Below are 19820 nucleotides of genomic sequence, written 5' to 3' on the forward strand. Positions count from 1 at the left end.
CAAAAGAATGAAACTAGGCCCCTATCTCTTGACATATACAAAAATCAAATCGAAGTGGATTAAATACTTACATCTAAGACTTCAAACTATAAAACTACTACAAGAAACATTGGGGAAACTCTCCAGGACATTGGTCTGGGCAAAAATTGTTTGGGTAATACCCCTCAAGCACAGGGAACAAAAGCAAAAATGGGTAAATGGGATCATGTCAAGTTAAAAAGGTTCTGCACAGCAAAGGAATCCATAAACGAAGTGAAGACACAACATAGAGAATGCAAGAAGATACTTGCAAACTACCCATCTGACAAAGGATTAATAACTAGAAAATATAAGAAGCTTAAACAACTCTATAGGAAAAAATCTAATTATCCAATCAAAAAATGGGCAAAAGATTTGAATAGACATTTCTCAAAAAAGACATATGAATGGAAAACAGTCATATGAAAAGGTGCTCAACATCATGGATCATCAGAGAAATGCAAATCAAAACTACAATGACATCATCTCACTCCAGTTAAAATGGCTTATGTCCAAAAAACAGTCAGTAACAAATGCTGGCAAGGATGTGCAGGAAAGGAAGTCCTTGTACATTGTTGGTGGGATTGTAAATTCGTACAACCACTAAGGAGAACACTTTGGGGTTCTCAGAAAACTTAAAAATTAAGCTACTATATGATCCAGCAATCCCACTGCTGGGTATATACCCAAAAGAAAGAAATCAATATACCGAAGAGATATTCCCACTCCCATGTTTGTTGCATTGCTTTTCACAATAGCCAAGATTTGGAAGCAAGCCAAGTATCCATCGACACATGAATGCATAAAGAAAATGTGGTACTTTTACACAATGGAGTTCTATTCAGCCATAAAAATAATGAGATCCTGTCATCCGCAACAACTTGGATGGAACTGGAGATCATTATGTTAAGTGAAATAAGCCAAGCATATTAAAACAAACATTGCATGTTCTCACTTATTTGCAGGATCTAAAAATCAAACCAATTGAATTCATAACTGTAGAGAGTAGAGGATCTCTACCAGAGTCTGGGAAGTGTAGTGGGGCAGGGTGATAGGGGTGAGGTGAGGATGTTTAACGAGTACAAAAAATATAGTTAGAAAGAATGAATGAGACCTAATATTTAATAGCACAAAGGGAAGATTATAGTCAATAATAATTTAATTGTACTTCTTAAAATTACTGAAAGTGTATAATTGGATTGTTTGTAATACAAAGAGTAAATGCTTGAGTAGATAGATACCCCTTCTCCATCTGATCATTATGCACTGCATGTCTGTATCAAGGCATCTCATGTACCCCGTAAACATATACTCCTACTATGTACCCACAAAAATTAAAAATAATAAAAATTTAATAAATAAGAAAAGCTGGATATCCATTCTCTAAGACTTCAGTGTTACAGAGGGAATTTTATATATACATGCACAAGTGTATATGTTCGAGAATGTTCCGATCGGGCGCGGTGGCTCATACCTGTAATCCCAGCACTTTGGGGAGCCGAGGTGGGTGGATCACCTGAGGCCAGGAGTTCAAGACCTGCCTGTACAACATGGTGAGACGCTATCTCTACTAAAAATGCAAAAATTAGCCAGGCATAGTGGTGTGTGCCTGTAGTCCCAGCTAGTTGGGAGGCTGAGGCATGAGAATTGCTTGAACCTGGGAGGCAGAAGTTGCCTTGAGCCGAGATCATGCCACTTCACTCCAGCCTGGGTGATAGAGTGAGACTCTGTCTCATAAAAAAAAAAAAACAGAAAAAAAAAAGAATGTCCTTAATAACATTTCATAAGGTAAACCTGAAAATCCAGATATGTATTAATAGTAGAATGAATTGTTATCTTTAAACAGTAGAATATATATAGCTTACAACTACACACAATGAACTAGATGAATCTTATAAAGATTTTATTAACAAATGAAGCAAGGCATAAAAGAATACAAACAATGTAATTCCATTTAAATAAAGTTTGAAAACAGGCCAAACAAAATTACATTACTTAGGAGCTCACATGTTTATAATAAAATCCTAGAAAATAGTTGTGAAAGTTGTGATATTAGTTGGCTCTAGCAGGGTTGTCAGAAGTTGTCATATACACCTATAGAATTTTAGTAATGCTGAATGTATGTACCTGGGTTGTTACTTGTGCGTTCATCTTGTAATTTATTTATATTGAATATTGTACATTTTATGTTTTTTGTACTCTTCAGTATGTGTCACATTTAATAATTTTGAAAAACAGAGAATGGGATGTAACTAACTAAAATATTGCTTTGAAAGGGAACAAAGATTGTGTTGAAACTGACTGAGACATGGGGTCAAGAGAGATTTCAAGAGTTTTGAGTCACATTTAGAAAGGCCCTCTCCTCTACAGGTTTATGAAGAACATAACCTTGATTTCTTCAAATGCATTTTCATAGTTTTACATTTTATATTTTATCAATTTGGGTGTGGTTCCTTTTTCTTATTTTAGTGTATTGTGTGTGAGGTCTGGTTACAACTTGATCTTTTCCTATATGGCCATCCAGTAGTCCCAACCTACTAAGAAGTCTATCTTTACCCTGTATTATTCCTATAAAGTCTATTTTTTGGACTTTCTATTCTGTTGGTGATCGTTATACACTAGAGTCATTACCACATTTTCTCTACTTCATTTTAGAAATTTCTTTACCTGCTTATTTTGTGCTGAATTCTTATACATTGTTTTGAATCTATGCTTTTGATTTCAATTATTTTAGTAATTCCTTCTAAATTTTAACACATTATTCAGTATTTCTATGTTTTCCTAAGTATATTAGTCCATTTTCATACTGCTATGAAGAAATACTCAAGACTGGGTAATTTATAAAGGAAAAGAGATGTAATGGACTTGTAGTTTCACATGGGTGGGGAGGCCTCACAACCACAGCAGAAGATGAAAGAGGAACAAAGGCACATCTTACATGGTGTCAGGCAAGAGAGCATGTGCAGGGGAATTGCCCTTTATGAAGCCATCAGATCTCAGGCGACTTATTCACTATCATGAAAAAAGCACATGAAAACCCACCCCCATGATTTGATTACCTCCCACCTGGTCCCTCCCACAACACGTGGGCATTATGGGAGCCATAATTCAAGATGAGATTTGAGTGGACACAGCCAAACCGTATCACTAAGCAAGATAAGAAAGTACCACAAGATGGTTATTAATGTGGGTTCTAAATTCAAAAGGCCTTCTGTGGTACTGACCTTAATTTATTTAATTTCAATGCTTTAACAATAATAACTTTAATAATGATAACACTAACATACATTGATAATATTGTTTAAAATAACAATTGCCATAAAACAATACTAAATGTTTATAAGGTTTTTATGAGCAACAGGTGAATTACTACAGTGACCATAATAAAGTGATCCATAATAAATTCCAAATATCTCTTAGCTGGTATGAATAACTATTCATAGTATTAACTAATAAAGATTTTGTACTTGTTTCCTATTGCTGCTATAACAAATTATTACTAATTTTGTGGCTTAAAACAACAGAAGCTTATTATCTTACAGTTTTGGAAATCAGAAGTCTGTGAAGCTTAAATCAAGATGTTAACAAGGCTGCATTCCATCTGCAGGCTCTAGGGGAGAATCTATTGCTTTGCTTTTCATTACATTTAAAACTAGATCAGTTGATTTCACAACAGTAAGACAAAGAAAGTCAGAAAATATAAGCTACTTACTGGTAGTTTCAAGAAATCATCAATGTTTACCTTACAGTGCCTTTTCTTGTTCTTTTGCACCCAGTGACAGATCTCTAACCTGTGAGATCAGAGTATTTGGGGATGAGTGGGATCCAGGGAAGCTGGTGGGGAAGAATATCTGTGGATCACTAATGAAAGCAGCATGCCTCTCTGGTTTTTGGTGGGGGAGATATAATAGCAAAAGTTAAATTAGACTAGAAATCAACTACTTTGTAACATGGTCTAGGTTAACAGTAACAAGGTGTGAAACCTTAAATGACTTAATTTTCTGAGTCTCAGGATTTTAAAAAATTTCTTTAAGATGGGTAATAAAGATATCAATATTTAATTTGGAGATAGAGCTATTCTTTTTACTGATAACATTTCCTTGGATGATAAAATGTATTTTTTTCTTTATAAATTGCACAGCTTGAAAAGGTAATTGTAGGGTATTGCTAGACAAATGCTCAGTTGAATATGCTGGTACCTTCTGAACTTCAGTTCAAATCTAGAAATACTGCTGAGTAGCACCACATCCTATCTGATATGAAAAATTCCTCATATTAAAGCTCTTCAAAGAACAGTAAAAAGAGCAGACACTAAAATTTTTCGGCTTTTTTCTGTATATAAGTAAATCATATTTTGGGTGACTAAAAAAATTCAAGCTCCTATCATATTACCTAAGTGGAAAATTCCTTATATGAGTAAGTACTTATAAGGGAGAAAAACAGAGCTTTGTGTAATGTTTCTATAATTTAAACAAAAAAAATTTTACTGGAGATATACAAAACAAAGTAACAAAAAGTACATAAAAAGATGTAATAAAGTGTGTTTTAATTCTAGTCTTAAAGCAATTCTTAATCTCCTTAGGGAAATTCAGTCTTTCTCTATAGACTTTTAACTTTGAGAAAAATACAAACAAAGGAACTGATTTATGGTTTTCCAAAAATGTTTTTATGGTTAAAATCTGTACAAACAGATATATTTATATAAGTTACATATTTTAAGAAAAATCAGTCATTTTTCATATATAATTGCAAAGAATTAAGATCATTTAACTTTAGCACTATAAGCAAGCATTAAATTAAATGCACTCAGATTTTTGGCACATTATATGGCATTCCTTATACCACATATTTATAAGATCTAAAGGATTATAAACATATTACACATAATAATTAAGTCCAATATAAATTGTGTTCAGGTTATAAAATGCCCTATTTAAGTTGTGCTCTTGGTGAGGGTGAACAGAAAAGAAAAGGCTTCTTCTTTAGCCCTTAAGCCTATGACACAATTTCCATGCTGGTAATTCCTTTCATCTTCTGAAGAATCTCTATTTTATTATAACATTATTGGCTTTCAGCTTGGAATTTCTCTACGCAGATTGTCTATTGACAGTGCCAAGGAAACATCTCACTGTCCACAGAATAGCAGCCTCCACCCAGTTGAAAGCTGCACATTGTTTCCACTTTACCATTGGTACTTCCCTCTGATGGCATCCAGCACACGACCATTAGCCTGAGTGATGCCCAACTGAGCCCAGACTTTGGTCAAGTTCCTTCCGACTGAGCCCAGTTAGGGACACCCTGCCCCCAGAGGAATATAACAAGCCCCCTCCCCTAGCTGCCCTGCAGCTTATTTTTCGTCCAAAAGGTCGCCCCCACCGCAAGTTCCCAGAACTTAGGTGCCACTATAACCACCCCTAAGCTAAACCACATCCTGGTACCCTGAGCCAGGCGGGGGCAAAAACTGACAAACTGCAGGATGTGGCCATACTGGGAGGAAAAGTCTCCACAAATGGCCTTGCCCCCCCGACACCCCCGCACACACACACAAAACCCCTGCAGACCTACTTATACCCCTTAGCCTGTAAGCCCGGTGTCTGCCTCCTCAGATTTCTGTAGAGCAGCCCAGCAGGTTAATAAATTTGCTTGCCGACTTTGGGTCTTCTTGTCCTTTCTCTTGGCTAACCTTATAAGCCCATGTGCATAACTCCCTCTAGGTCAGCGGTCCCCCAACCTATTTGGCATCAGGGACCAGTTTCGTGGAAGGTAATTTTTCCACAGAGGGTTGGCGGGGGTTGGAGGTGGGGTGGCGTTATTGGTTTCTGGTTTATATTGTTCCACAAGGATCACACAACCTAGATCTTTTGCATGCACAGTTCACAATAGGGTTCCCACTCCTGTGAGAATCTAATGTCACTGCTGATCTGACAGGAGGTGGAGCTCAGGCTGTAATGCTCACTTACCTGCTGCTCACCTCCTGCTGTGTGGCCGGGTTCCTAAGAGGCCACAGATCAGAGCTAGTCTATGGCCTGAGGGTTGGGAAGCCCTGCTCTAGGTAACATAATCCCCTTATGAGAAATTAGACAGATGACATTGAGATGCAAGGAAAGCATCTCCTGATGAAACCATCCCAATATCACGCATAAATGAAGGCAGTGATACAATGTCCCTTATACAATTTATAATCTCTTAAAGGAAGCAATAAACATTTAAACTATTGGACTACTGGGATGTACATTTTACCAGATACCAGCATCATAATCTTATAACTCTATATGAAAGTTTGAAAAAATAATTATAAAGTTTATTTAAATGTTGATTGTCCCAAGGTCTACAGTTTCTTTTCTGTTGTGTCATCAGTGACAAAGAGTAAAAAAAGGAAACTCCCATATTTAGCACTTTAGAGTAAAACACATGGATCATCGTTATTAACAGTCCTCTGGGCGTGCTGGAGCTCACTGAGAAGGCTTCTATTTTGAGCTTGGAATGTTGTGCTGAGCTGTGCAGCCTGTTCCTAAAGAGTGATAAATAGAAAGTAAGATCAAGCTTCTTACTGATTGCCTAAATCACTCACTTGTCCTTACTTCTTTTCATCTACAGTAGCAGTAAACAGTTCCTGAATATCTCTCTTCCATTCACGTGCATCTAACCTATTTCTGTAATTATTCACCCTCCTTGTCTTTCTCTAGCTCCAGAAATGGTCATTTCTCATCCCTGGAATATTGGTGTCCCTAGGATTCCAAACCAAAGCTCCCTTCCCCCTTAAACCACACGATCTCCTTGGGCAATCTTAGTCACATCTTGACTTCAATTCTCATACACACACAGGAGACTCTCAGATATATTTCTAAGAGAAGAGGCTGATACAAAAACAGTGTATCTAAGTGACATCGGAATCAGGTGGGCTGTCCAATCTTTACATACATAAGAGAATTTGTTCCAGGTCACCACAGAAGTAGGAGAAAAGAGTGAATACATAAATAACCACATGCTGCTCATACTGCTCTTTAGGAAGGAGCTGCAATCAGAAATATTTTAGAGTAACTTCTGAAAAACTAGTACCTACAAACTGGCAAGCCAAGGGGAAGAATTAGGATGTCATTTGTCTCATTAGGGTGCTGACATAGGAATTTTACACCAGGTCTGAAGAAGCAAAAACACTGCAGATTCCACTCATTTGGAAGGCAGTTTTGTTAATGTGCTAGGCTTGTGTGATATTTGCATTGATTATCTCTTTGAAACCCCACTTATCTCATCTGAAAAATGAGGACACAGTAGTTCTGCTTTACAGTGAATGGATTAGATGAGATAATGCATGTAAAGTGCTATGACAGTGACTGATAAATAATAACTACTGGAGAGTGCTTGGTAACTACTGACAGTGATTGGTAAATAAAAGTAAAGGACCGGATGAAACAAACTGGCAAATTAAAGGCCTTCAGAACAGAGATGATCAAGGCAAGAACAGGGGCATAGACACAGTAACATGAAATCAGATTAACAAAGTATCTATGACCAAAGCAAAAGATCATCCAGGACAATTAACAAGTCAACAGGAAAGACCAGTTACTGCAGCCCAGAAATGCCTTGGTTTTTATTTAACAACATATAGTGCTTACTCTGTATCGGGCACCATTTAAACACAAATATTAACTCATTTAATTATCAAAATAACCCTATAACATAGATATCATCACTGTGTCCATTTTACACAAGAGGAAAATTAGGCACAGAGGTGATAGATAACTTGCCTAAACCATATACTTACTAAGAGGTGGAGCTTGGATTCATACCCAGACTTTCTGGCTCCAGACTCCCTGCTGAGAGCCACAAGATCTTGCTGCCTCTCCCTCTTTGCCACTGCTACATACTCTCATCGTTACAGGCAGGGGAGAGATGAAACAATTGATGAATACCTGCATCTGTTGTTCCTGCATTTTCTGTTGCTCTGCCAGCCAATTTTGTTTGGCTATCTCCATTTGTCTCACTTGTTCCTGATGGAGTCTCTCCCTCTCCTGCATCATTTGCTCGTTCTGCCTTTGAATCGCCGCCAACCTTTGCGCTTCAGCCTTTTCAGCTTCTGCTTTCACTTGTGCCTCTGAGGAGAAAAAGATAATCTTCTCTAGGATTAATGTGCCTCTTCCTTCTGCCTCCCACTTTTGTTTGTGATTGTTCCAACTTCCTGGATAAAATTCCCAGGGGTTGTTTTTCCCTTCCAGGTAACCACAATGCAGGATCATGCCAGTCAGATATGCTTGAGGAGCTAAGAAGCATCTTTGCCATTCTTGCTCTAGTTTAACATCCCATGAGGGCCAGGCCAAATTTATTTAAAATTTATAGATTTCTTTCTATCTTGCATAATTTCCACTTTCTTCTCACCTTTCTTCTTTTTTTCCGTCTCTGTGAGAGCCTGGTCAGTCTGTAATATTGCATGACTCACAGACTCCTTGGACTTTAAATATTTCTGCAGAACTTCTTCAGCCTAGCAACCCGGAAAACATGCAGTTAGATGCAGGAAATGGTGATTAGGAATGTTGTAAACATCTTTGTCTTGTTCCTTCCAGCAGCATCTATTCCTCATAGGAGAGGCTTGCCATAGGAGAGGCTCCATAGGAGAGGTGGAGCCTATACAGGCTTCCACCCTGCACTTGGTGGAACTGCCAATTGAGACTGGAGAGGCTTGTGGAACACCTGCTCCTGTCACAAGTTTGGCCATGACTCCATGGTCAGTCAGAGCATGCAAGTCCACTAGATGCAAAGGACTTGTTCACAGGGAGAAAAATACTGCAAAGAGTATGAAAATTGATGATGCTTTTGTGTTTGAATGACAGATATATGCTGGAGAAAAGATGCTCTCTTTCCCCTGAGACTGAGGGCAGTAAGGACTAGTTAAGCTTGGACCTGTTGGTGTCACCTTTATTGTCATGTGGGGTGAGCCTGCCTGGAAATGAAGCCAATAGTCAGGAAAATGAAACAGAAAAATGACAGAAAGAAGGAGGAAAAGGGATAATATTGTTTAAAATTCTGAATGCATCTATACTTGAAACTAAATTAAAATCTTTTGCTTTTAGTTTGTGTAAGCCAATGAATTACTGGTGTTTCTTAGGTTAGTTTCAAGTATTGGCATTCTGTCCAATGTAACCAAAAAGGCCTCTTTGTTGCAATGAATGTTGATGGTCACAAAGCAAGTCTGGTGATTATGGTGATGGTTCAGTTTAACCCCACTGCTACCATTAGATATAAATTCTGTGCGAGGAACACCAACACCAGGCACATTGTTTTTCCATAAATGCTTATTCAAGAAAAGGATTACTACTAGACAGAGACATAAACCTCATCTGTGTGCCTGTATACATGGCAATTTTCCTGTTCTCACTGGTTTTACAAAGAGGTCCCTCAGCAATTCTCCACAATAGGTAGAACTAGGGATACCTGTATTCCTTTCCGAGGCTCCCGATAGTACTTTGCCTTCAGTTCTTCTGTTTTCTGAATGAAGAGATTATGGCCTCCTGGCTTAGAATAAATTCCCTGCTTCACTGCTTCTTCTAGAGGACCAAAAATATCCTTAAGTAAAGCCGAGCAATAATCCGAGGATGCTTCCAGGTTCCGTTTACAAATGTCATTCTGTTTTGCATCTAGTAGAGTCTTCAAAGAGACAAAAACCCATGGAAAAGATGTTAGCAATACTTCAGTATTTCTGGAAATAATTCTGAAAAAGAATCTATATTTTTTTCTACAAACTTAGAGCAAGACACATATAAGCAAGACTATATCCTTCCCACCAAACCTGGAAAAATTCCAAGGATGATACTCTATAGAAAAATGACATTTACTTTTGGGTTTGAATCTCTTGTTATTTCTGCTATAGGTGTAATCTTCATGCCACAGACCTCTAGCTTCATGCTTTAATTTTAAATGCAGCCTACTAGTTTACAACATTCCTTCCAGTATTTCAGTGTTTTACTCGGGATTTCCAATGATAAAGTTCGAAGCAGAATAGTTGGCTGGAATGATACCAACTTATTCTATTAATCCTGGATACATCATATTTTAGTGGATTAAACTGGTAATTCTATATGCTTAATAAAAAAGAAAATTTAATACTTTGTAAATGCAACTGGCCAAAGACAGAAAATTAATTAAAATTCAGTTCATGGGTATAACATGGTAAATGTATGCATATGGGAAAACTTCAGAATCTACAAGGTCCAGAGTAATTACATGTTTGCTCATTTGTTTTCAGAATAAAAGTGGTGTCATGGCTATATATTATTATTTTCCAATCTAGTATTTTTTTTCTTAGCTAAGTCCTATTTTATCATTCAAAGCAATACTTTGCCTTCTTGACCTTAATCCCCATGAACTAGAAACAAAAATATCACCTCCAATTCTTTCTGGAAACTTTGGTCTACATCCTTGAAAGAGTTTTTCATGAAGACTTCAATGGCCTCCCTCTCACTGGTCCTGTGCAGGTCCAGCAGCTCCTGGAGGGTTTCCATGGGCAGCTGCACTTTCTGGCCCATTTGCTGGTCATAGTGGGCAATGGCCTTTTGCACTGCAGCTGAGTTCTCTCTCTGAGCCAAGGCCAGGACTGCATTCTCTATGCAAGGCAGATCCCCACTGCTGATGGCATTGACATAGGTCAGCACCAGGTTCTTTAGACCTTCATGGAAGAAAGAAACATTTATATTATTTGCAAAGGAAGAAGACATGATTGATACAGTAATTTCTGAGAACGTACATTTAATAGTTGCATTGCCTGAAATTGTTTAGCATTATGGACAGTAGTCAAGTGGCCCAAATAAGTTTATTTGGGAAACTGTGCTATCAGGAAGCCAAGTGTTTCATTCTTTGGGAAAGGAAACTGTGTTCAAATAAGAAAATAGAGGAAATTTCAAGGTGTTTGTGATAGTCTACAGTTCATCCTTCTCTGATGGAGAAATGAGAAGATGATCATATAAAAGTCAAACATATTCATTTGACTACAATGCTATAGGCTTCTGTCTCTTCAATCTTCCCTTTTTCTCTCAGCTTTCTGTTCTCTTCAGAATTCCTTTTTCTTTTTATTTATATATATATTTATTATACTTTAAGTTCTAGGATACAGAATTCCTTTTTCTATTTCACTTTAGTATAGTTAAGCTAGTATGAGCGCTACCCTCCTCTAAAAAAGTGCAAAGTTTGGGAGGCTGAGGCGGGCGGATCACGAGGTGAGGAGATCGAGACCATCTTGGCTAACACGGTGAAACCCCACCTCTACTAAAAATACAAAAAATTAGCCAGGTGTGGTGGCGGGTGCCTGTAGTCCCAGCTACTCAGGAGGCTGAGGCAGGAAAATGGTGAGAACCCAGGAGGCGGAGCTTGCAGTGAGCCAAGATCGTGCCACTGCACTCCAGCCTGGGCAACAGAGGGAGACTCCACCTCAAAAAAAAAAAAAAAAAAAAAAAAGTGCAAAGTAAGCAATTTAAACCAGGTTTCTCTTAATGTTTGTTTGAACTTTCCTGTTTTACGTCCTTGTCATTTGCACACTTTTGTTTCCAGTCAACTTCCTTCTATAATGTAGCAATTATTTACACAGAGTTCTTAAGAAAAACTAGGCCCAAAAGTCTGCTTAGATTTCATTTAGGGTTTTAGACAATTTGGGCCTTTGTTTAAAGTTTGTTATCAACCACGTTTCACTTATACAGGGAACATATATGTCTTGTTCATCTTGTGCCTATCAAATACTGTGACACATAATAAAAATCCAATGTATTTGTTGAACAAATGCTGCCAGCCCATGTGGATTAATCCAGTTCAACAGATCTTTAATTTTATCTTATCTTCAGGTTTTGTTCCTGTTTTATGTAACTTTAAAGGTATTACTACACACACTTAGTAATATGTGATACCCACTGAAACTTAATAAATATGATACATATGATTTTCACAGTAGCAATTGCCTATGCATTTGTCAACATTGACAATGCAAGGATAATCTTATAAAAAGTGTCCCTTATAGTTTACATTAAATTGAAGGAAAATCCTAAAAATAATACTCACGAGATCCATTGACCATGATGCCACCTGGAAGAGTCTTGGTCATAGAATGGCTAAAGATGTAGGAACAGAATTCTGTCACTTGTTGCACAAATTCAGGCTCTAGCTCATCATCAGGCAGTGTTTCAAGTTGGGCAAGCTTTTTTTGGTGAGCAGGTAAGTCAAAGATAAAGCATTTCTTTTTTGGAAAGAACTTCTGTATACACAGACGGGGCAAATTGAAATTTTGAACTCTTTGATCACTACCTGGAGAATAAAAAATAGGATTTATTTAGCATAGACTTTGCACTCATTTTCATTTATTTACCTTGAATAAATGTCCTTCCACCTGATGTCACTTAGATTAATATATCTTCATAAACCCTAAGTAAAAAGCAAAATGGTAACTAATCAGGGAAAGTAAAAAAGAAAATTTGTTCTAAGAATGAGGAAAATGCAATTTAATATTGAATCTACTTGTTCATTATAAACAAAAATATTTATTATTTATTTTTTAGGAGAGCTGGGTGAATATATATATATATAGAAAACCATAAATTTAACCACCTAAACAAAAGAGATAATTTCTTAGATTACTTTTTTAAAAATCTTTCTAAAACTGAAGTCCCTGTTACCTTGCTTTGGCCTTAGGGAATTCTCCAGGTATTCATCTGGTGTGACAAGTTGCCCATCTATTTCCAGGCCTAAGCAGAAATCTCTCAGAGTCCACACTAAGTCTGGGAAGAAGCTCGCAGAGTCAGCAGGATCTTCAACCCTGTCAAGGTCGGGTGAGTTTCTTGCCTTGAGCAGATCTGTCAGTTCTGTCACATTGCTGAGATGCAATTAAAGAAAACTGGCAGAAATAGGACCACATCTAAACCCATACTTAATTCCATTTTCCCCCAAACCTTTATTTTCCCCTACGAGTCTTAACCAAATCATCATTTTATCAGTAAATATAAGGGCTCCTTTCTTTGTACTTTCAATGTTTATCACGTTTCCATTTTTGTGATTCACAAGGTCTCACAGACATGCAGCTGGTAAATAGAGGAGTTCTGTCGGACTTTGGTGCCATCCCATACCACAAAAGGATACTGCAGTAGGTCGATAGCACCCTGATCAATTTTGTTCACAGTATTGTACACAAAGGTGCTGCTCAGTAAGAGTGCCAGTGCAAAGATCTGGATATCATTCTTGTTGTCAGCCTAGAAGTCAGACCAAATTTAAGTCATGTCTCATGGGATTCCCAGATGAGCGATATTTAAAAATAGGCTCTTGTCATAAATGTTTAACAAGACAAAAGAAAAAGATTGTTAGAAATATTAACTTTGAATAGTTCTCTTGTTAACATTGATAATTTTATACTCATCCATATCTTATTAACTCACCAGTCCCTCTACATATTTGCAAAACGGATAGTTAAAATTAGTGGGGTGATCAGAGTACTTAAAACCAACATTTTCCAGCACATAAAACAAAATTGGCCTATATACCCAGTACATATACCTATTTTATTGAATAACCAGTATCAATAATGCAGTTCACATTAATGATCTTATCGAATTCTAAAAAATAGTGCTGTGAGATGGGTTTATAGTTACTATCTCCATTTTGTAGGTAAGGAAACTGAGGCTCAAATTGTGGCTTGTCATCTTTAAGTCCTGGCAAATCAAAAACAAAGACAAAAAACACACACACAGAAAAAAAACAATGGAAGTTCAAGAGAAAGATCCAGTTGTGTGCTGGAGCCAACTCATACCAACTCATGACAGCAAATTGTGTGCATGTCTTCCCAAGTCTGAGTTTAGTGAATTAACTTTGGTAGCTTGAAATCAATTATGATGGGAGTATTCAGAAAATAGTCAAGTGCTACAAATCATGGTTGTTTTTGTTTTTGTTATTTTGTCCTTGAGCTGGTTGTTAAGTACTTACCAGCATATAACTAGGAAAGGCCCATGTATCTACTGTTTTTAAGTAGTGAGTTGAATAAGAAAGACCAAAGAAAAAATAAAACATTTGGAGAGACTTACTTCTCTTATCAAAGTCAGAAAGCTACAAGTGCTAGAGCTCTGATTGGAACACAAGTTCATTTAAGAACAGAACCCACTATTAACTAGTATAATCTACAGGATCAGGCTTGTAACAGTGATTTTATATGCATCATGTTTATGCATTTGCGTTAATTGCCTAGCTCAACATCAACACTGCTCTTCTAATACTGATTCTGGCTTATAAATGTATTTTCTCATGTCAGGCTTCCAAACTCTGAATATTAAAAATACAAAGGAAAACAATGGGGGTATACATTGGTCAAGTGGAACTACAAATTTAGAAAAATAAACCTAAAATCTCCCTGTGAAAAGACAGTTCAGAGATTAGGAGGTTAAAAAAAGGAATCCTTCCTTACCTTCTCTACATCTCCCAGGCCCTCGGTGTCAAGCAGAACTAATGTGTGATTTGGCCAGTTGGGATGAGGCACACACCATATCCAAATTCCCTTGGTGTGAGACTGCACCGTAGATGCAACAGAGAAGCCTGTCAGGGGGAGTGAGAGGTTGTAATAGAAGAGAAACTCTGGAAATTGGGGATTTGCTTGATCATTCAGCTAGAGTTTAAGGAAAGCAAGATGAGGAGATAGCAGAATGTACAACCAGTATTGATTTGAATGATGATGCAGAAATGGAAAAACAATATCAAATACCATAGGTTGGAACTTTGATATTAAAAAAATATTATGCTACTAAAATGTTGCTAGTTTATAATTATGTATACGGGAATTACTTCATTGATGTCTTACTCCTTACAAGGAGAATATATTATACATTTTACAAGAAGAAATCAAGGCAAAGAAAAAAAAAAGAGGTGATATGTCAGGAACAGAGAACTGGTCTTCATCTTCCAAAAGATAAAAAGACCAGCTGTAGCCTAAACATTGGCTTTTAATATTCATCCTCATGTCTTACTCTCTCCTTGCTTCCTCGTACTGGATGGTGACTGTGTGAATGGACAGAAGGGTTTGGCAGAGCTTTGCTGGTACCACTCACCCTTGTTCTTCCCAGCCAGCTTGTTCATCAGGTAGGATTTGCCAGTGCGATAGAGGCCCACAATCGCTACCACAACTACAGGTTGCGTAATGGCAGACAGGATCTCCAAAGCTTCCTGATTAACCTTCAGCTGCTCATTAAAGTTCTCGATGAGGCACATGGGGTCTGACATGTGGATCTCTAAAGCCATGTCTAGGATGTTACTTTGCCTGCAAGGGAACAGATGGGATAGGCTGGAATTTCTGGTGTTTGTTTAATAAGCAAAGGAAGTCATTTTGCTTACTGAACCTGGGGACATACTACTCCCCAGCACTGCCTAAGTTTCTGGAAAAAAAAAGTTTTAAAATAAAAAGAGTCCTGTAAAATAGAGAGACTTTATTTTAAAACAAAAGTAAGTCCTAGGCCCTTTATATGTCTACTATAGGCCATTCTACTGGTTCTTAAATATTTGATAGGCATACGAAAATCCATTTCCTGCGTCTAACCTACTAGTTTGAATCTAACTCTTATTCCATTGGTTTTTGGCTTAGTTATGTTTTTTAGTTTTTACCTCCCTGGGTTCCTATATTAATTCTTTATGATGTTCTTTATTAATATATTACACTGTTCCTTTTACTTTGTGTCAACTTCATTTTTTTCAGTTAGATCTATGTCCAGTCAAACTGCATTACATTAAATACTACCAAGTCATTATGCAGCATTATCTAACAAATCATAGCTGTTTGCTTCTTAGTGATATACTTGAAATTTTTTACATAGTTACTAATGTGCTTTATTAAACCAAAACTTCAAAGCATGATTATTTTATGATTGACTGAATGAGTAAAACAACTTCCTTTAATAATACTTAACCTATTTTTTTCTAACTTCTGAGCATCAATCCCTATAACCTAAAGAGTCTCTGGTTAAAAAAAATGTTTGAGCTATATGAGAAAAAGCAAATGCCATAAAAATATGCTTTTCTACTTTGCCTTATCATAAAGGATAGTTTTCTTCCATTTTAAAGGTGGTTATTTACTAAGGATGCTAAAACTTCACTATCCGCTTGACGAGTTCTTTCACTAAAATCTTACAATGAAAAGGTTTGGATTCTCCATCTCTTTACTAGCAAATTTCAAAAACTGTCATTTTACAATTATGAAGACCCATTCTCCCTGCTTCCTCATAGCTAATGCCCTGGAAATCATTATGTTGACATAAATTAAAACAGAAACTGCTTGGCAGCAGAAAATAGGATATCCATTTGCAAATGGTGTAGCACTAGGACATGGGAGTCAGGAAATGCCTAGTGCAAGCCTGACCCAGAAAGAGGCAATTTTGCAACAAATTTAGAGACTCAAATGGCAGGTCTCTTCTCATTCTAATCTATTTTCAATGTAGTATTAGTACCTTATATATGTAGAATTCTGGTTGCCTGATTTGTATGCAGCGGAGGCCAGAATAATTTTTCCACTAGAAAGATATGGGCACCTTGAAGTGATGATCTACAACAATTAGCTAGAAAAACAAAAGATACATAAGCCAAATCTATAAGCAGATATTGAGAGCTTACAAGATCTTATGATTTGGGATGATGTCACTAAGGAAGAGGGAATGAATGTGTCTGAGTGTTCAGACTCTCTTATGAATGACAATAGCATTGTATATCTACATTAATAATAGTATTTGACATGTTGTCCCCAATGTCATCTGGATAGCATCTTTAATGCTTTTAGTAAAGCCAAATTTCTAAAACATTATTGCAGATTTAATGTGTTCAAGCCACAAACATAACTGTTGCTCTGTTATTCATAACTTAGTGTTCTGGGATGCATTCTCCCTAACTGCTTGAGCCCTATAACCTTTGCAAATAAAAACAATGCAAGAATGGTTCAAAATACACACACAAAATGCACATTTTGCCCTTGCCTTAAATTAGACTTGATTTCCAACCCCAGCCCTACAACTGGCTATCTGTATCTCTCTGGCATTTCACTCAATTCTTTCAGCTTGTTTTCTAAAAAAGCAAAAGTAAATAAACAACTATTTATTAACATCAGTATAACTGCTGGCTTATGAAAGAGAGTGAGCGAGCTGCAGGAGATTTTAAAAAGTGCAAAGAAGGAAAATGCCCAAAAAAAAATACTAAGAGAAAATGCTCAGAAGTGGTAGTGGAAGGATTTCTGAAAGAAAACATCTGTTTTCAGCCATATGATTCTAGTTTGGGTTTTGCGCCTGCATTTGTATATGTAGTTGTTATTGCTTGCTTTTGCTTATTTTGCATAGTTTCTGGTTTGAATTTCAAGGAAAAGGAAAAGGCTCTTATTAAGGATATAAATGGAAATCAAACTAGTACAAAATGCTTGAAGTATGTGTCATGGTAAGAAATTCAAAGGAGAGAATTTCAACGAGTGAACAGTTGCCAGACAGTATTGAGGGATCCAGTTGGGCAACTGTTAAATTAGGTGATTCATAATAGTAAAGGCAATAGAGTAGTAGAAGCAGAACCCAACACAAAAGGGGTTAGTTAAGTGAGTAGATGCCAAGAAACCAACATGAATTAAGTCAGGGCTATTGCTAAAGGAAGAAATCTACTTTCAAACAAAGTACAAGACTATGACTAAAAATACATCACTGTTTTCATGAAACTTCTCTCTGGGCAACATTTTTTTCTTGTCCTTAATGTTTGCAAGCTACTTACATTGCATCATATTCATTGTTCTTTCTCATGAAAATAATAGCTATCATAGTTTTTGAAACTTTCATGCTGAAGTTCGAGTCAGTTTAATCAGATTTTATGAAGGACGAAGGTAACTTAAGTGGAAATTATGATCCTGAATAAGTCATAAAATTGCAAAGGAAGAAAAATAATTTGAAGGCATTTCAAACTCTTAGTTTAGTCACCACACACATTGATGTCTAATTCAGCAAGAGGCAGACACAGCTGGTACTTGATGAATTCTGCTGCCTGTCTGATAAGAATACAATTTATTCTTTACTGAGGTCTGATATACCACATCAGGATAAGCTGCATCCTATCCTTTGTAGAATGTTTCTAAAACCAAATGAATCTTGCAAATCTCTTCCACCTCTTGCCCCAGTCTTACCGTGTCCGGAATTGGTGGGTTCTTGGTCTCACTGACTTCAAGAATGAAGCCGCGGACCCTAGCGTTGAGTGTCACGGTTCTTAAAGGTGGCGTGTCAGGAGTTTGCTCCTTCTGATGTTCGGATGTGTTTGGAGTTTCTTCCTTCTGGTGGGTTCGTGGTCTGGCTGGCTCAGGAGTGAAGCTGCAGACCTTCGCGGTGAGTGTTACAGCTCTTAAGGCTGCGCGTCTGGAGTTGTTTGTTCCTCCTGGTGGGTTCGTGGTCTCGCTGGCTTCAGGAGTGAAGCTGCAGACATTCCCAGTGAGTGTTACAGCTCATAAAGGCAGTGTGGACCCAAAGAGTGAGCAGCAGCAAGATTTATTGCAAAGAGTGAAAGAACAAAGGTTCCACAGCCTGGAGGGTGACCTCAGTGGGTTGCCACTGCTGGCTACTTCTCTTATCTGGCCCCACCCACATCCTGCTGATGGGTCCATTTTACAGAGAGCCGATTGGTCCATTTTACAGAGAGCTGATTGGTCTGTTTTGACAGGGTGCTGATTGGTGTGTTTACAATCCCTGAGCTGGACACAAAAGTTCTTCATGTCCCCACTAGATTAGCTAGATACAGAGTGTGGATTGGCCTATTTACAAACCTTGAGCTAGATACAGAGTGCTGATTGGTGCATTTACAAACCTTGAGGTAGATACAGAGTGCTGATTGGTGCATTTACAATCCCTTAGCTAGACATAAAGATTCTCCAAGTCCCCACCAGATTAAATAGATACAGAGTGCTGATTGGTGTATTTACAATCCCTTAGCTAGACATAAAGATTCTCCAAGTTCCCACTAGACTCAAGAGCCCAGCTGGCTTCACCCAGTGGATCTTGCACCGGGCGGCAGGTGGAGCTGCCTGCCAGTCCTGCTCCATGCACTGGCACTCCTCGGTCCTTGGGCCATGGATGGGACAGGGTGCTGTGGAGCAGGGGTCAGCACAGGTTGGGGAGGCTCAGGCAGCACAGGAACCCATGGCGGGGTGAGGTGGGGAGCGGGAGAGGGGAGGAGGCTCAGGCATGGCAGGCTGCAGGTCCCCAGCCCTGCCCCACCGGGAGGCAGCTAAGGCCCTGCAAGAAGTGGAGCACAGCAGCTGCTGGCCCAGGTGCTAAGCCCCTCACTGCCTGGGGCCGCTCCGAGTGCAGGTCCCTCAGAGCCCAAGCCCACCCAGAACTCGCGCTGGCCCTCAAGCACCGGGCGCAGCCCCAGTTCCCACCCCTGCCTCTCCCTCCACACCTCCCAGCAAGCTGAGGGAGCCAGCTCCGGCCTCGGCCAGCCCAGGAAGGGGCTCCCACAGTGCAGCGGAGGGCTGAAGGGCTCCTCAAGTGCCGCCAGAGTGGGTGCCCAGGCAGAGGAGGCACCGAGAGCGAGGGAGGGCTGCAAGGGCTGCCAGCACGCCGTCACCTCTCATTACCTTGATTATAAAATCGGGAGAAGAGGTATTTTAGAGCTAGTAAGAAAACTGCTTCCATGAGGGACTGGGCACGGTGGCTCACGCCTGTAATCCCAGCATGTTGGGTGGCCGAGGCGGGTGGATGACGAGGTCAGGAGATCTAGACCATCCTGGCTAACACGATGAAACCCCGTCTCTACTAAAAATATACAAAAAATTACCTGGGCATGGTGGC

General features: G+C 38.5%; 1 protein-coding gene and 1 pseudogene across 3 annotated transcripts, besides 1 other annotated feature; one reads left to right on the plus strand and one right to left on the minus strand.

Annotated features, from left to right (window-relative positions):
• The window catches only part of LOC100421401 (guanylate binding protein family member 6 pseudogene), a 65535-nt pseudogene that overhangs the window by 16865 nt on the left and 28850 nt on the right, over positions 1 to 19820 (plus strand).
• On the minus strand, positions 1901 to 18572 carry GBP5 (guanylate binding protein 5). 3 transcript variants are annotated; one of them, NM_052942.5, is made up of 12 exons: positions 18164 to 18572; positions 16467 to 16574; positions 15078 to 15286; positions 14441 to 14568; positions 13129 to 13238; positions 12669 to 12865; positions 12058 to 12300; positions 10398 to 10678; positions 9448 to 9660; positions 8395 to 8497; positions 7932 to 8113; positions 1901 to 6529 (listed from the first exon to the last, which is right to left on the minus strand). In NM_052942.5, the coding sequence occupies exons 3-12, from the start codon at positions 15265 to 15267 to the stop codon at positions 6416 to 6418; spliced, it is 1761 nt and encodes a 586-aa protein (NP_443174.1). In that variant the 5' UTR covers positions 15268 to 15286; positions 16467 to 16574; positions 18164 to 18572; the 3' UTR covers positions 1901 to 6415. The 3 variants fall into 3 exon arrangements, with proteins under 3 accessions (NP_443174.1, NP_001127958.1, NP_001378849.1); NM_001134486.4 differs by lacking the exon at positions 16467 to 16574; NM_001391920.1 differs by lacking the exons at positions 7932 to 8113; positions 8395 to 8497.
• Positions 5753 to 6254: an enhancer, noted in NCBI's record as "NANOG hESC enhancer chr1:89725724-89726225 (GRCh37/hg19 assembly coordinates)". NCBI's record gives its function as "activates a minimal SCP1, AML or CMV promoter by ChIP-STARR-seq in naive H9 embryonic stem cells {active_cell/tissue: H9 hESC(naive)}" and the evidence as "EXISTENCE:reporter gene assay evidence [ECO:0000049][PMID:30033119]".

Source organism: Homo sapiens, chromosome 1 (assembly GCF_000001405.40).
Source record: "Homo sapiens chromosome 1, GRCh38.p14 Primary Assembly".
In the NCBI taxonomy this organism is placed as follows: domain Eukaryota; kingdom Metazoa; phylum Chordata; class Mammalia; order Primates; family Hominidae; genus Homo; species Homo sapiens.

Excerpts from the sequence above, each read along its gene's own strand:
- GBP5 (NM_001134486.4), bottom strand. The coding sequence starts at position 15,267 with ATGGCTTTAGAGATCCACATGTCAGACCCCATGTGCCTCATCGAGAAC. Across the intron at positions 9,661-10,397 it reads GTTTCCAGAAAGAATTGGAG|ACTCTACTAGATGCAAAACA; the intron begins GTGATATTTTTG and ends GTCTCTTTGAAG. Across the intron at positions 8,498-9,447 it reads AGCCTCGGAAAGGAATACAG|GCTGAAGAAGTTCTGCAGAA; the intron begins GTATCCCTAGTT and ends CCGGGTTGCTAG.